The following is a 16,183-nucleotide window of genomic DNA, read 5'->3' as shown; positions in this document are numbered from 1 at the left end:
TTTAAGCCCCGCATGCATTAGCTATTTGTCTTAATGTTCTCCCTCCCCTTGCCCCCCACCCCGCTACATGTCCCAGTGTGTGATGTTCCCCTCCCTGTGTCCACGTGTTCTCATTGTAAGCTAAGATTTTTTACTTTAGAAACTTTTTAAAACTTTTTGACTCTTTTGTAATAACACTTAGCTTAAAGCACACATTGTACAGCTGTACAAAAATATTTCTTTGTATTATCATTCTATACATTTTTTCTTTTTAAATTTTTTGTGTACTTAAAACTTTTTTTTACTAAAAATTAAGACACAAACACACACATTAGTCTAGGCCTACACATGGTAAGAGTCATCAGTAACACTCTCTTCCACATCTACATCTTGTCCCACTAGAAGATCTTCAGGGGCAATAACACAAATGAAGCTGTCATCTCCTACGACAGCAATGCCTTATTTTGGAATACCACCTGAGACCATTCTGTAGTTAACATTTTTTTTAAGTAGAAAGAGTACACTCTAAAATAATGACATGAAGTATAGCATAGTATGGCAAATACATAAACCAGTAACATAGTCATTGATTATCAAGTATTAATACCATTGATCATTTATTATCAAGTACTAATGCCATTACTTTTAATGGCAAAAACTGCAATTACTTTTGTACCAATCAAATATGATGTACCATACATAATTGTATGTGCTATGAGTAATGCACTGTGCTATAACATTACAACAGCTATCACATCACTAGATGATAAGAATTTTTCAGCTCTGTTATAAGCTTACGAAACCACTGTCATATATGCAGTCCATTGCTGACTGATATGTTATGCAGCACATAACTGTACTTCATTTCTAATTTGATTTTTAAGGTGTTTATGTAACAAAAGATATGTTTATTTAAGAGATGTACTTTAGATGAAGTGATTTAAAATACCTCTTAAATAATTAGACATTTAGAGACCTTTGAGGATAATTTAAAGGTTAAATTGGCAGCACATTAGGTTAATTGCTAAAATATTATGTTTTTGTGTCCTGCCTACATTGTGAACATTCAAACGTAAGGATTAGAAAGTAGTCTCTAAAAAAACATAAGAAATAATTAAAATTAGCTTCTGGCCCCTAGAACCGCTTTTCACTCTCATTCTGGTTATTTAGAGGATATATACATCCGAGTAGATACGTCATCTAGCACCTTGACTCTGGGTGCTTTTATCTATTCTCATTCAATGACCTTTGCTTCCACTTCATGACAGCCACTCACTCTCTTAGATATATGCTGGCAATTCTCAAAATCAGTTGTGTAACTCAGACTTATCCTCTGGCTTCTAGAAACACTTACCCAACTTAACATTTCCATTTGATTGTCTCACAGGCATTTCAAATATAATATGTACAAAATGGAATTCTTGTATTCCACTTAAATCTTATTATATTCTCAGTCTTTACCACCTCAGAAAATGGCAGCACGTGCACTCAGTTGTTCAAGCCACAAACCTGGCCATCATTCTTGGTTCCTTATTTTGTCTTACCTTCACATTCAATGCCTCAACCAGCCTTTTCTTTGTACCTTCTAACTATATCATGAATCAATCCAGCATCTTTTATGTCAACTGTCATTATGGTGGTCCAAGCTTTCTTACAAAATTTCACCTCCGCTTCCAATCACTGTCTCCTCCATCTAGTCATCACACAGCAAACAGATAATCTTTTAAAACAAAAATCGCAAGAGTACCAACTCTCATTAATTTATTGAATGGTTTATACATGCATTTCATGCTCTACATTAAATATATATTTCACATCCTTCCACTTTTTTAGAGCTTTATTAAGGTATAATTATCATATAATATACTGCATGCATTAAAGCATACCATTTGATGAGTTTAGACACATGTATATGCCTTTAAAATCTTGAGCACAATCAAGATAACAATAATATCCGTCAGCTCCAGAAGTTTATTTATGGCCCTTTTAATACCTCCCTCTTCTCTTCTCCTCCCATGTCTGCAGAGCACCACTGATCAGCTTTATGTAACTCAAGATCAGTTGTTATTTTCTAGGAATTTACACAAATGAATTAATGTCTCCACTTGCCTCAGCTATTCACATAGAGTCCAGGTTAATTTCTTCATTTCCACTCTTCCAAAAAGAAAAAAAAAGTGAACAAGTTCAATGAAAATCACTGAGAAAATGCCAACATCGGTGCCCAGTTTTTAGAGTTACTTATAAATTATAAAACTCCCGAAACACTACAACACTTTCATGGACTTGTATCTTTCTCAACGTTGATAAAAAATTATATTAATAATAAACTTCCATGTTGTTGTTGTTGTTTTGAAACGGAGTGTCACTCTGTCACCTGGGATGGAGTGCAGTGGCACAGCCTTGGCTCACCGCAACCTCCGCCTCCTGGGTTCAAGTGATTCTCCTGCCTCAGCCTCCTGAGTAGCTGGGATTACAGATGCACACGACCACGCCTGGCTAATTATTTGTATTTTGAGTAGAGATGGGGTTTCACCATGTTGGCCAGGCTGGTGTTGAATTCCTGACCTTAAGTGATCTGCCTGCCTTGGCCTCCCCAAGTCCTGGGATAACAGGCATGAGCCACTGCACCCAGCCAAACTTCGAGGTATATAATTAAAAGTTTAATAAGCCCTCAGCCTAATTTTAAAATTCAGATTCTTTCTTTCTTTCTTTCTTTCGTTCTTTCTTTCTTTCTTTCTTTCTTTCTTTCTTTCTTTCTTTCTTTCTTTCTTTCTTCTTTCTTTTTCTTTCTTTCTTGATAACATTATTATCATAGTCTGGTAGATTCTGTCTTTCTATAATAAAAATCCTGTGATGTTGTTCAAAGAAACTCAATGGGCTTTCTGTATGTTTACCAAGGAATTAAAATCTTAACAAAGGTTTTCAACACAAGAAATACTCCCTTTTGTAAGAATTCTTCATAGGTTTTTCTAGCACAAGTTTGTTTTTATTGAATGATACTTGATGGTTCTGTATGTTATTTCTTTTCTACTACATATAATTTTGATTAGGGGATACATTAAATATTTTAAAACTATCATTTCTTTTTCCAGAACAATCATAACATGTTTTGCTTCTTGTTGCTTTAAAAGGAACATTTTAAGTTGCTTTTTTACAACAATAAGTGTGAAAGGAAATGCCAAAATACAAACAATTTCACTTCTTGTTGGAATTTGACATTTCCACTAGCTAAGTAATATAAACATGCATCACCTAAATGAGCAGTATTTTAATAGCATCGTTTTCACATTTTAATTGTTGTCACATTTCTTCTTTGTTTAGGGAGACGTCTGGTGAACACCCGTGGGATCTAAAGAACAAGTAAGATTTAAAGCATACTGGGTTGTGTGCCTGGCTTTCACATTTTATTTATTTTATTGCTTAATAGTGTTTCTTTACTACTGTGGGTTGTAGCTTAAAATTGTTAGAAATTTTATTATGGAGTATAAGGAATAAAAGTGAACGTTCAACACTTTCAAATTATTTGGAGTCTTAAAAAATATACATAAATTTTCTGTATGTAGTAGGCAGACACAAAAATATTATGTCTTTATGTATATAGATGGAGTGAAATTTCAAGTCCTAAATAATGGGTATGTTTTTATGTGGAAGAGCAAATACACATCTATAGACTGAATTTTTACACGATGATTTTTATAAGATATACCGTTTTATTTAAAAATTGTCTTAGTGTGACCTCTAGCCTATCAATGGAGTAGGTTAGTGAGCAGTGAGTAGTTGATTCATTTCCCCAAACTCCACCTCGTGTGGAACCATGATTCTGTTAACACCAGAGAGTATGAACAATACAACAACCACCCAATAGTGGAATGAGATGTGTTGGGATGGTTATGAGGGAATCTTCAGTTAATGGATTGGGAAAGAGAAAGTGTGAAGTGCAGTCAAAAGGAAAGCAAATGAGTAAGGGAAGAACTGAAAATAATAAAGAAGAAAGACGACAGATCTTCAAAAAATAAAAATAAACAAATAGAGTAAACAAATAGATTACATATACTTGCACTTCATTGTAAATATTTGGAAGAAACAAAAGAGAGGTGGAACAAATACAAAGTAGTAAGTAGAGACTGGAAACTAAATATAGAGACACGATATTCAATAAATAGTGCCTAAGAGAAAGGGAAAGAAAAAAGTGGTAAAAGTAGAAGAAAGTTCCATTTTAAATTTTTGCTTTTTCACTTATTTGACAATTTACGTAATTTAAACTACAACTTGAATGGTTTATAAATAGAAGCCTTGAATATTTTTATCTATTTCATTGAAAAAGAAAAAAATTCTAGTCATCATGCAATTATTCGATGTTTCTGAGAACCTTGTTTTATGCTCAATTTAAGCCATGTTTAAATGAAGAAAATGTTTCTTGATTTATTTCAAGTTTCCTTACTAGTGTTCTAAACTTTCTATATTTATGAAATCACTTGATTCTAAAAAACTGAAAATTGTGCATTTAAGGAGGTGAAATAAATCATTAAAATGTATTTATACTCTGCGGAAAGCATATGTTAAACAATTCAAATTTACAGTTAGAATGGTTCAAATTACTCCGGCGTTCAAAGACACAAAGCCCTAGAATTACCCTGTAGTTATCCTGTAATTGCTATTTGCTGGCAAAGGAAAGATTAACAGTGGTGCTGATCTCAACTGTAATACACAGATTTACCAAGGAACCTGTAGAATTGAGTTTTTCTATCCAAAGAATGAATCATAAAAATTCAGCAAGATGACCTTTCTTTTCATTGGCATAAAGATAAAACAAGTAAAAATTCCTTTTTAGCAGCACTTGGAAAAGTATGGTTGTTCGTTTATGGTTGTTGCTGTTGTTCATGGGTTTGGGTGGCTATTATGTATTAATCATTTATCATCGCAACAAAGGGTCTTTGTTGCGATGATAATCTTACTAATAGTCGCAGTGTCTTGGAGAAAATTATTTGGTTATTTATGATTCATTATCTATAATACACATCACTACTAGGCCACCATACATTGTTTTTTATAACCATAGAGTAGAGCTCTGTGGGGGCAAAAGAGAAAACGCCCATTGACTCTAAATCCAAAATACTGAGTAAAATCCCAGCACCACCATTAAGAGCCACTTTATCTTCCTGCTCCTCAATGTTTTCATGTTTAAAATGAGAATACTGCCTAGTGACAGGATTGCTACGGTATTTGAGCAAGTTGTCATTCTGAAAGTACTTTGAACTTGGTCAACATTGCTGGATGACATAACTGGGGAGTCTTGGGTTCTAGCTCCCTGCAAGTGAAGCCACCCAAATGACTTTGCAAAGACTGCTACAGTTGTTTGTACTTGTGATTCAACATTATCATTTTTTAAGTCATTTAGGGGGTAGGTCAAACGACCATTTAAGAAGCTTTAGTCATCAGCCTCATTGCTCTGGATCTGGAGTGTAGCCTCATAAGAATATCCTGCTGTGGGTGCCTTATATTCCTCTAATGGAATAAAACTAGGACCATCTCCCCGATTTTAACCAGTACTAGGCTGGTTTGTTTTACATATATTCTCTCATGTAAATCTCAAATCAATCATCTAAGGAATATCTGTTTGTCCCCATTTTTGGATGATTCTCATAAAGGGTTAGTAATATAACTGAGGTAACACAAAGAGAAAAGAGAAAGAATTGGAATTGGAACCCAGAACTTGTTCCACAGCCCATGTATATTACAAATGTATTTTACTGCCTTCCTCAGTGAAATGTAGTATTTTTAGTGCAACTATTTGGGGGAAAATTGTCACAGTAATTTTATCCACACTGGTGTGGAGAAAACATCTAATATAAAAGACAAATGTTTGAGGGAGAGGAAAAGCAATTTCGCTTCCCAAGGAGGGTGACACCTGCTGAAAGGGGCTGCAGTAAGGCAGTCTCAGAGTTGTGCCTTGGACAAGCTCTGTGGGAAAGTATTAGTGAGCATGTTTTTTAATCCTACAACTCTTTCCTCCTTTGGCAGTTAACAGCAAATTCCTCAAGTCCTGCTGCCTGTGCTTTAAGGCCCAATTCTTCTGCATTCCTATGATCATTTAGCAGAGAGAAGACCCAACTCTACTTTCTTTCTACTTATTGGCATTCCTCACCTCCATAACAACAACAAAGTTTGTGCCCCTGATTTTCTGTTTATGGTCAAAAATTGGTGGTTGATCTACGTATACTTGCTGAAGTCAGGGAAGATGGTAATTATTATATCCAAATGTACATTGAACAGTCCTTTTGAGGCTCCATTCTCTTCATCTTCTTTAAGAAAAAGTAAGTCATTAGAAAGAAATGAAAATAAATTATTTTGTTACAGCAAAGGGGTCCCAATCCAGACCCCACCCAAGAGAGGGTTGTTGCATCTCATGCAAGAAAGAATTCAGGGCAAGTCCATAGAGTAAAGTGAAAACAAATTTATTAGGAAAGTGAAGAAATAAAAGAATGGCTACTCCATAGACAGAGCAGCCCTGAAGGCAGCTGGTTGCCCATTTTTATGGTTATTTCTTGATGATATGCTAAACAAGGAGTGGATTATTCATGCCTCCCCTTTTCAGACAATGTAGGGTAACTTCCTGGCATTCCCATGGCATTTGTAAACTGTCATGGCGCTGGTGGGAGTGTAGCAGTGAGGACGACCAGAGGTCACTCTTGTGGCCATCTTGGTTTTGGTGGGTTTTGGCCAGCTCCTTTACTGCAACCTATTTTATCAGCAACGTCTTTATGATCTGTATCTTGTGTTGACCTCCTATCTCATCCTGTGACTTAGAATGCCTTAACCCTCTGAGAATACAGCCCAGTAGGTCTCAACATTGTTTTACCAGCCCCCATTCAAGATGGAGTTGCTCTGGTTTAAATGCCTCTGACACATTCATGATTGATTGATTGATTGTTTAATTTTTTTAAAAGCTATCTAGTTAATTTAGTTAAAATAAACCTGGCTTATTCTTTTTTTACACAAATTGATTTTAAATAGTTAAAACATTTTTTTAAATCCATAAGTAATTCTTACTCTACTCATTTATACACACATATACTCACATGTACACAGACATACCTACACACACACTTATAAATACATGTATACACAGAATATAGCAAGGTCTTTTATCCCTTTTCAATGAAATAAATATTGTATTCTATATTTAGAATAAATAATGTTGAAAAAGTGATTTTGGAGAAAGGTTGAAATGATTGAGTCTTAAGTGTGTCAATGTATAATCTACCCCTTTCTAAACATCGTGTTTTAAGTAGTCATCTTACTTCAGAAATTAGAGGCTCAATGTGTTTAGAAATACATTTCATCATGTTCATACACAATATAGATTTCTCCTTCCTCAGATTGTCTCCCATGTAAATATACTGCTTGATAAAGATGACAGTCAAGTTAACTTGATTGCTGGACAGCTGTATTGTTATTACCATAAATAAACACACATATTTCCTCTTCGGATTATTCCTGGCAAGGAATCTCTAGACAAACACAATGCTTTCTTCTGGATTGATTGTGATCTTATTCACTCTAGGTAATCACATATGTATCGTTCATATTAACACTTTTATAAAACTGAATTTAGTATGTAGAAAAGTTCAAAGTAAAAAGCTGTACTATTAGGTGACATTTTTAAGGGCATGACTAAAAGCAAAAATATTATTGACAAATCTTTGGAGTCTTACACAATAAAAGGAATCTAATTTACACAACATAAGCACATTTCTGTTCAGATTGTGAGAATGAAAGATCGTGGAGAAGTTTTATTCAAAGATATCAGCTTTGCTCATGAAACTCAAATAAATGCTTCCAGAAAAAAAAAAAAAACAAACAAACAAACAAAAAAAAACGAGGTAATAGCATGGACCAAACAGTTATTCATTTTGCTCTTTAATTCCAAAAACAGATACTATTCCTCTCTGAGTATTACATAGAGCTTACGATTTACTTATTATAGAAAAATGGTGTTATCTACAACAAGTACTTATTATGAACATCAGAAGATATCAAGTAGACAAAAATGCAGCAGCCAAGAGTTCAAGAGTGAGGGAGCACTCAGAGTCCAGTCTTATAGTGAGATTGGTTAAACTGCAAGATGCACCCAACAAAAGATCCATTTTATCTGGGAACCTCACCTTGCACGTTGATACTTTCAGGCCAGTAGAGGCCCTTTTGTGAAAGAAAGAAATGGTTTAATTAGTGGGACTCCAAGGATTAAACCAATGTTGACAATGGCACCTTCACCACCACTGGAAAAAACAGTGGGTACATCCCCATACCTGTTATACGTAAGCATTTCCTGAGTTTTGAGTCGACTTGGCTGCTTGAATCAGGGCAGAGTTGCTTCTGTATGCAATGAAATGCCCATACACTTGGTCATTATAGTTAATTAACTGCCCTCCAATGCTGCCTGCAATGCATATATACAGAGAATATAGCAAGGTCTTTTATCCCACGGAAAGAAAGAGAAAGAGACTTGTTGCTTTTGTCCATTGGAGCAGGAAAAAGCAAAGCAAAAGAAAACAAACAAACACACAAAAAAACACTATTTGTTAAACATGGACTGTTACCAAACATAGAAGTAAGGTTCCTTCCATATTTGAAGTCTATTATTAGTTCTGCCTTGTGACTGATCGCTTCTTTGCTATCATCAATGATCAATGATAGGACCCAACAATGTCAGTGCAGCATTCTGGGGGCACTCCCATGGCGCATTTATTTTGCCCATCACCTTGAGAGTGGTTTTCAAGATTAATTCTAGTGTCGGTGGCCTCGTATATTAATTATTGCTTCAGAAACGCTTCATCGGAGTTCAGTCATTCTTTTGTTACTTTGATGTAAACCCCCAATGCCTCAGATATTGAAAAAACAAAAAACAGAAAAAAAAATAAGAGCTAGCAAGAATTTTCAAATAGCATTGGTGCTTAAAAAACAAACAAGCAAACAAACAAGATTATCTGTGCTATCTGCATCCCCCCCTTTAACGTCTTTTCTTTCTGCCCCTGTTAGTGTCATCTGTTGTGTTTATTTTTTTCATTCAAAAAATTTAGACACTCAAAATTTTGCTGAAAATTTCACCTAAGACTGTGACCAACTGTCTGGTATAAATTGGATATAGATTTCTAGAGATGTAGGCCAGTAGATAGTGAATACAAAGGCAAGTCACAGATTTTCTTTTAGCATTGCTGAGTTTTGTGAAGTTTTATCTCTGCCTGATGTTACAGGATATAGTGGCAAGAATATACACCCTCATATGGCAGAAAATAGCAATTTCTTATCCTGGATGGCAGAATGGCAAAAATACATACATATGGCATCAAACTTTAATTGATAGAACTTGATAAAAAAATTTCAATACTATTCTGTAAATCTCCTTCAAAGTCTGTTTTGTTCTCACATCCACTTAAAGTAGAACAGTCATTAGACATTGCAAATAGTTTTCCCTGTCTGCATGTGAAAGGAAAGCATCTTACCCATTTGATATTTTTAGACACTTATACCGCCTATGGAATTTGCCTACATAACTCCCTTTCATGCATGGATTTCTTGCTTCTACAGTCATCTTAAATATGGTGAATAATGCTTGGCTTATGGTCCTCACTCAGTCAATGTTTATTAACTAAGTACGTATTGGGCAGGTTTGTTAGTGTTCTATGATTGTAAGAAACTCAGCAGATTAACACAAAATATATTTATTATCTCTCACTTTAAGGTAGGAAATGTCTTAGTTGGGTCCTCTGCAAGAATGCAGTGTGTCAGCCAGGGCTTGGTTCTCATCTGGAGGCTTAACTGGTGATGGATTCTCTTCCAAGTTTACTCAAGTTGTTGGCAGAATTCATTTCCTGTGGCTGTAAGACTGAGGGCTTTGGCTTTGGCTGTTGGCTAGAGGCTACTCTCAGCTCCAGGAGCTGCCTGAAGTTCCTTGACTATAGCTTTTTCCATAGGCCCTCTCACAACATGGTACCTTGCTTCTTTAAAGTCAGAAAGGGAAAGGGACACTTCCTATTACCAGACTGATAGCAAGGTGGAGGCTTATATAATGATTCATAATCAAGAGAGTAAAATCCTATCATCTTTACCAAGTTCTATTGGTTAGAAATATGTCACAGGTCCTGCCCACACTCAGTGGGACAGGATTATACAATCTGGACACCAGGAGAAAGAGACCAAAGGAAAGACCTTAGAGTCTCTTTGCCACAACAGATACCATCAAAAGAACCAGTGCCAGGGCCTTCCCTGAAATCCTAACTTTGAACTAGAATTGAAAATCACATCAGAGAAAGAACATCTTAATTTGTTCTCACTAAGGAAAATGAAAAATATTTGTTGAAAGAGCTGTAGGGTGTAGAGTTATCATTATACTAGTTTACTAAAGTACCACTGAAGTACAATGGGCATTTCCTATTGTAAGAGGCAGAATCTTCAGGGAATAGGGATGTATTCTTAGCTACTCTGGCAGGGAATAGCATGTGACCCTCTTTCTTTGCTACTGCATTCTGAGTCTTAGGCCTTTGAATAACACAGTTTTTTCTTAATGTACACCTCACTTCTCTACTATTGTTTGGCCTATAACAACCACAGAGGTAATTATATCCTTATATCCTATGTAATTATATGCTGCAGTTAATATGTATTTTACCATATATTTATCCATAGGTCTGTTTTCTCAAATAACCACTTAATTCTATGATATTTAAATGAAAAGCTCCAGGCTTACTAGTCTTCCAGGATGTGAGAATAATAGATGAATTATAAGCTATTTCCCCCAAAAAAGAGAGTGTTGGGATACGTGAGACCATGTAAATGAGGAGAAGCTATGACTGATGATTCCTGAAAAGACTCCCCCCACTTTTGTATCTTCCTGGAGTTCAAAAACAGATACTATTTCTGAGCACCCCTACAGACTAGAATTGCCACTCTCTACTTAGGAGACACAGTCTCTAAGGTAACCAGGATACACATATCATAGCATTTTTAACTAGGGCAATCTAAATTATGAGCATGCTACATATGAATCCTAGGCCATAGGAAATGTTTTCTGTACCAAAATAATCAATATTAATCATTAAAATTTAAAAATAATGGTATTTATTCATACTTTCGTGAGGACGCCCTTGGTGGCTGTTGTGCAATAAGCGGATAATATTTGTCTGCCAATCACTAGCCCATCTCACATGTAAAAATGATCACATGACAATCCAGTGCATGTTTATCACCCAAGATCTTGTCAGCAACTGATGGCACACTCAAAAAGAGTGTTCTTAATAGAGGAGAGCTTAATAAATTGACTATTTACAGAGGGATGGACAAGATGAAAGGATCAAGGATCATCCTGGGTTAACTGGAAGCAACTTCCACACTTTGGCTTGATAAGGTTATCAGAACCCAGAAAGATCTGCACTGTTGAAGAGGGCCACTCAGTAAGAACCTAACCTCAAGTGCAGAAAAGCAACATGTGAAAACATGTGCACTGGCAGATAGAGAGCCAGGGAAATAAATAACAGAACTCCTCTTTCCTTTTATCTTCTAATATTCTGCTGGTATTTCCCATTACCTGAACTAACAAGAAGCCACAAAGCAAGAGAGCCTAGCTGATGCAGTCAATAAATGTTGAACTCACCAGACACAGAGCAGGGGGATAAAAGGTGAGAATGGAATATCCTATAGCATGTCAATGTGCATCAGTAACTCAAAAAGTCTTATGGATAATGTTGTCCCATTTGTATTAAAATTCTAACTTTTGTTCATAGTCTGATTTCTATCCATTGTGTCTTACTTTCTTTTAGGCTTGGAAAATATTGGTCAAAGATATGTTGAATCTGTTACTTTCTAACATTGTTTTAGAAACTGCATCAACCATCTACTGAATTTGTTCAGATTTTGGCCTCTTTTCAGAAATCTGGGACTTGTAGGAGGAATTGCTGAAATCTTGAATGATTTTCTAACCATTCACAATTGTAGTTTCCCCTAAGGCAACTCCTAAAAATTTCCATCTTTGTCAGGCTGGTCATGTTTAGGACATTTCTGTAACTCCAAGTCCCTTTAAAGGGAAGGCCTAAGAGAACTGTACGGAGCAAAAAATTACTCAGGATCCCTCCGTAGAGGCACCAAGTCAACCTAAAATTCTCATAACTCCTTGAAAGCAGGCTAGTGAAAATTTGGAGAGAATTTATGAAGATTAGTATAAATTATAGCTTATTATCTAGTATTTTTGCAATCTGTCCTTATACTCGTTATGTGGCCAAAGCATCCAAAAAATGCTTTATGCCTAGATGTGAGCTAGAATATTTCCAAATTGGCACATACATCACAGAATGAAATCCTCCAGTTTTATCCACAGATACACCAATGTCATCTACATCTAAATTATATTAACTCTAACACAAATCATCATTCTACTTGTTTCTTATTTCTAAGCACTCATAAAAATTTTTACAGTTCTAATTTTTTTTTCTCCATACCAACTTGCTTCTTATCTTCATATACTTTTCCTCCTTTCCAGTTTTAAATTAAAATAACTGCTGAAAACCCCTATGGCACACATTTACCTATGTAACAAACCTGCACATCCTTCACATGTACCCTGGAACTTAAAATAAAATAAAATAAAATAAAATAGAAAGAACTGCTGAAATTTGTGGAGCCTTTAGACACTACCTTTAGGATTGTGAAAGCTCTGCAACCCAATATTTCAATTCTGTTGGGGTTAAGTCTAGCCTTTCTATGACTTAGAACTAGTCAACTTTTATTAATTCTCAATTTCTCTCTCCTTAAGCATATCATATTCCTGGTAATTTTTGGTAAGATTTTGATGCTGTGTATATAAAGTGCATTGTAAATATCAAACAAAATATTGAGATAGATATTGGAAAAAAAAATCCTAAATAAAATTTTAGGTGAATGAGAGAATGATTTGTACTTTTAGAGCAAGTTCTACTATTTTTATACATACATTAGCCTGATTATATGGGTTTTGTTGTTATTGTTTGTTTTGTCTTTCAAATAGATTTCATCTGAAGCTGTTATGCCAAACACTACTTTAGTTCTTCATTTAAGTGTATTTATATGATATCAGATTTTCCCCTTGTTTTTACAACAAGCTCAATGATATAAAATTTATCTTAAGCAAAATTGTCCTTATGCTTTACCTGACATGCTTCCTTAATTAATATTATGGTTAAAGAGAGGAAAAACATAAGGTTTTACAAGGGTTCTCAAAAATAGTTATAGTAACAGAGTATATTTAAAATCATATTACCAGCAAATCCCAGTAATAACTAAGGAGACGAATTAAAAATCTTTGCAAATGCCAAAATTATGTTAAATAGCAGTTGGAATATTTTAACCCAGAATTCTACTGTTTGATTTCTTCACACTTCCTTTCTTGCATCAAAAACAAAGGTCAGCAGCATAATAGGTACAAAGTTAACTCCATCCTTTTTTTCCATAGAATTGTCAGATTGACACACTAGAATGCGTTTTCACTAAATAATGAAGGGGAGGCCGGGCGCGGTGGCTCATGCCTGTAATCCCAGGACTTTGGGAGGCCGAGACGGGTGGATCACAAGGTCAGGAGATGAGACCATCCTGGCTAACACGGTGAAACCCCGTCTCTAATAAAAATACAAAAAATTAGCCGGGTGTGGTGGCGGGAGCCTGTAGTCCCAGCTACTCGGGAGGCTGAGGCAGGAGAGTGACATGAACTGGGGAGGCGGAGCTTGCAGTGAGCCAAGATCGGCCACTGGACTCCAGCCTGGGCAACAGAGTGAGACTCTGTCTCAAAAATAAATAAATAAATAAATAAATAAATAAATAAATAAAATGAAGGGGAGAAGGCCTGTGTTACCTAACAGACTCTCATGGACTGTGGCTTTCTTGGCTAGAACATAGGATAAGTAAACATCCTAAAAGTTAAAAACATGAAAAGCCGCCATCTTGTCATCTTTCTTTATCAATTTTCGTATCTGTTTTTCTAAAGCAGATTTTTTTAAATTTCTGAGTTAATGGGTACAGCGCACCAGCACGGCACATGTATACATATGTAACTAACCTGCGCATTGTGCACACGTACCCTAAAACTTAAAGTATAATAATAATAAAATTTAAAAAAAATGCCAAATTTCAAAAACAAAAAAAAAAAACACTTTTCTAAAATGGGTCATATCTTTTTAGCTTTAAGTATAACAGACAAATAAAAATTATATATTTATGGTGTAAAAAAAAAAAGAAAGAAACAACTGAAAGATATGCTTAAGCAACCTTTGGGGGGTGTAAACCACAATGAAAAAAAAAAAAAGGATCCAAGTAACAGGAGGTCAAACACGGGAGAAGGGTAAATGGAATTCCCAGAAAAATAACTATACATAGGTATCTAAAGCAACAGGTCCAGATTGATGTAGGAAGGTAAAGGCATGATGGTCTCTGAGAAAGGAATGGAATTGATGGAAAGTTTTAGCTGTTTTGGAGTGATTAGAAAGAAATATTGATAGGTTTGTATTTGGTTTATTGGAGTATTTTAGAAAAAAGTAATAGGGTCAAGCACATAAAAAAAAATATATTTTTAAAATTCTTCAGGGACTTGTATTGAAGGTATAGTTGTACAAAAACACATTTTTTCTCTTAGATTTTATTAATTTTAGAGGCTTTGGAGGGTAATGGAGACTACACCCTCCTTGTTCCTCTTGTCACCCTTAGCCATCTTTGGGCTACCAGTTAGCACAAAGTCATCTAGTATGGAAAACAAAATCAAGTGATTCAGAGTTGAAGGGTAGAGTGAAGAAGTCTATCGAAATTAAATTTTTATATTTTCCTAAAACAGATTACTGTATATTTCTACATATACCTCTACTCATAACCTCATCACAGTTTGAAATGAAATTTAATGTAGCTTTTCATTTTGATTTCCTTAAGATGTGTGGATGGGAGCACACACAGTATTTTAATTTTATAATTTAAAATAACCAAGCAGTCAGAAGTTAAGATAAGCTGAACTTACTTTTTACTTGCTATAAATAGGCAAATCATTAAATGTTACAAATAGTCCATTTTCTCTACCCTATCTTGCTATAGGTTGGGACAGAGGAAGAAAGAGTTATTAGATTTACTGTCTACATTTATCTAGCTGTATTAAATGTAAATATGACCCCCCAATATTTTTTAAAATCATTTCTTTAATGGACAAGTACTGCTTCATTAAATAGAGTTTTTTTCCATACTATAAAAAAAGAAAAAACATATTGAAAAATATCTGTGGAGTCATTTGAACTCCAATTAATCTTTATCTTAGATTTCTTACTATGCCAAAGTATGAAACTTTTTTAAAATATCAGGGAAACTGATTTATGATATCAGTAATACTCCCTAAAATTATGGTTAGACCAGCAGGCAGATGCTTACGTAATATCATTTCCCAATTTCACAGTAAAAATAACAGGTAGGTTATGTGAATAAATATGGTAATTGCAGCCCAATGGGAATTGCAAATTTAGAGTTCAATCTCCATTTTAAGAAGAAGTCACTTACAGAGATAAAACTCTGGGGATCAGTGACTATTCAGAATAACGTTAGTCTTTAAAATTAAATTTGTAAATACCAAGGGAATGAATGATTTGTGCCTTGTCTATTCCTTAACATAAATAGACTTTCTTTTTAAAAGTATATGTTTTGTTCATTCTTGAGAACAAGAAGAAGAACAAAAAGAAAAGAGGAGGAGAATCCAAATTTATAAATTATGCACCATTATATTTGCTCTCATAGCCCATCTAACATAGGAGGACCTAGAATAATAGAGTCAGACTTTAATGTTGAAAAATCACATTACATCATCGGTTGGATACACCTCTAATCTTTCTTTTAACAGCTAAATTCATGTGCTTCAGACACAAAAGTGAAAGAAGTCTTCAATGAATCAGTTGCACTGTGCTTCATTCTAAACCAGACAACAGCCATCTTATGGGTTCATTGATGCATTTTGTTCTATGAATATCAAAATTATTTAATTTATGATAAGAAAATTTAAAAAAAAATCCAGGCTATTCAGACAGGAGCCCCAGAAGCTCTCTGGTAAAGGAAATTCTAGAACTGTATATTTTCCAAATAATCATCACATATATGGCTTTATTTTTCTATAGCAAGTCCTATAGGTTAGTGAAGCCAGTTAACTGGTCTAGAATAG

At 34.9% G+C, this 16,183-nt stretch overlaps 1 protein-coding gene across 38 annotated transcripts in view; it reads left to right on the top strand.

The window, feature by feature from the left end:
• Positions 1–16,183, top strand: part of PTPRD (protein tyrosine phosphatase receptor type D) — a 2,298,757-nt gene that overhangs the window by 1,590,967 nt on the left and 691,607 nt on the right. For all 38 annotated transcript variants that reach the window (NM_002839.4, XM_017014961.3, XM_006716827.5 and 35 more), the window contains one exon: positions 3,301–3,339. The gene's annotated coding sequence lies outside the window, so the exon portion shown is untranslated. The remainder of the gene's footprint in view (positions 1–3,300; positions 3,340–16,183) is intronic.

Source organism: Homo sapiens, chromosome 9, assembly GCF_000001405.40.
Source record: "Homo sapiens chromosome 9, GRCh38.p14 Primary Assembly".
NCBI classification, from domain to species: domain Eukaryota; kingdom Metazoa; phylum Chordata; class Mammalia; order Primates; family Hominidae; genus Homo; species Homo sapiens.
This window is presented reverse-complemented; position numbering and strand designations above follow the sequence as displayed.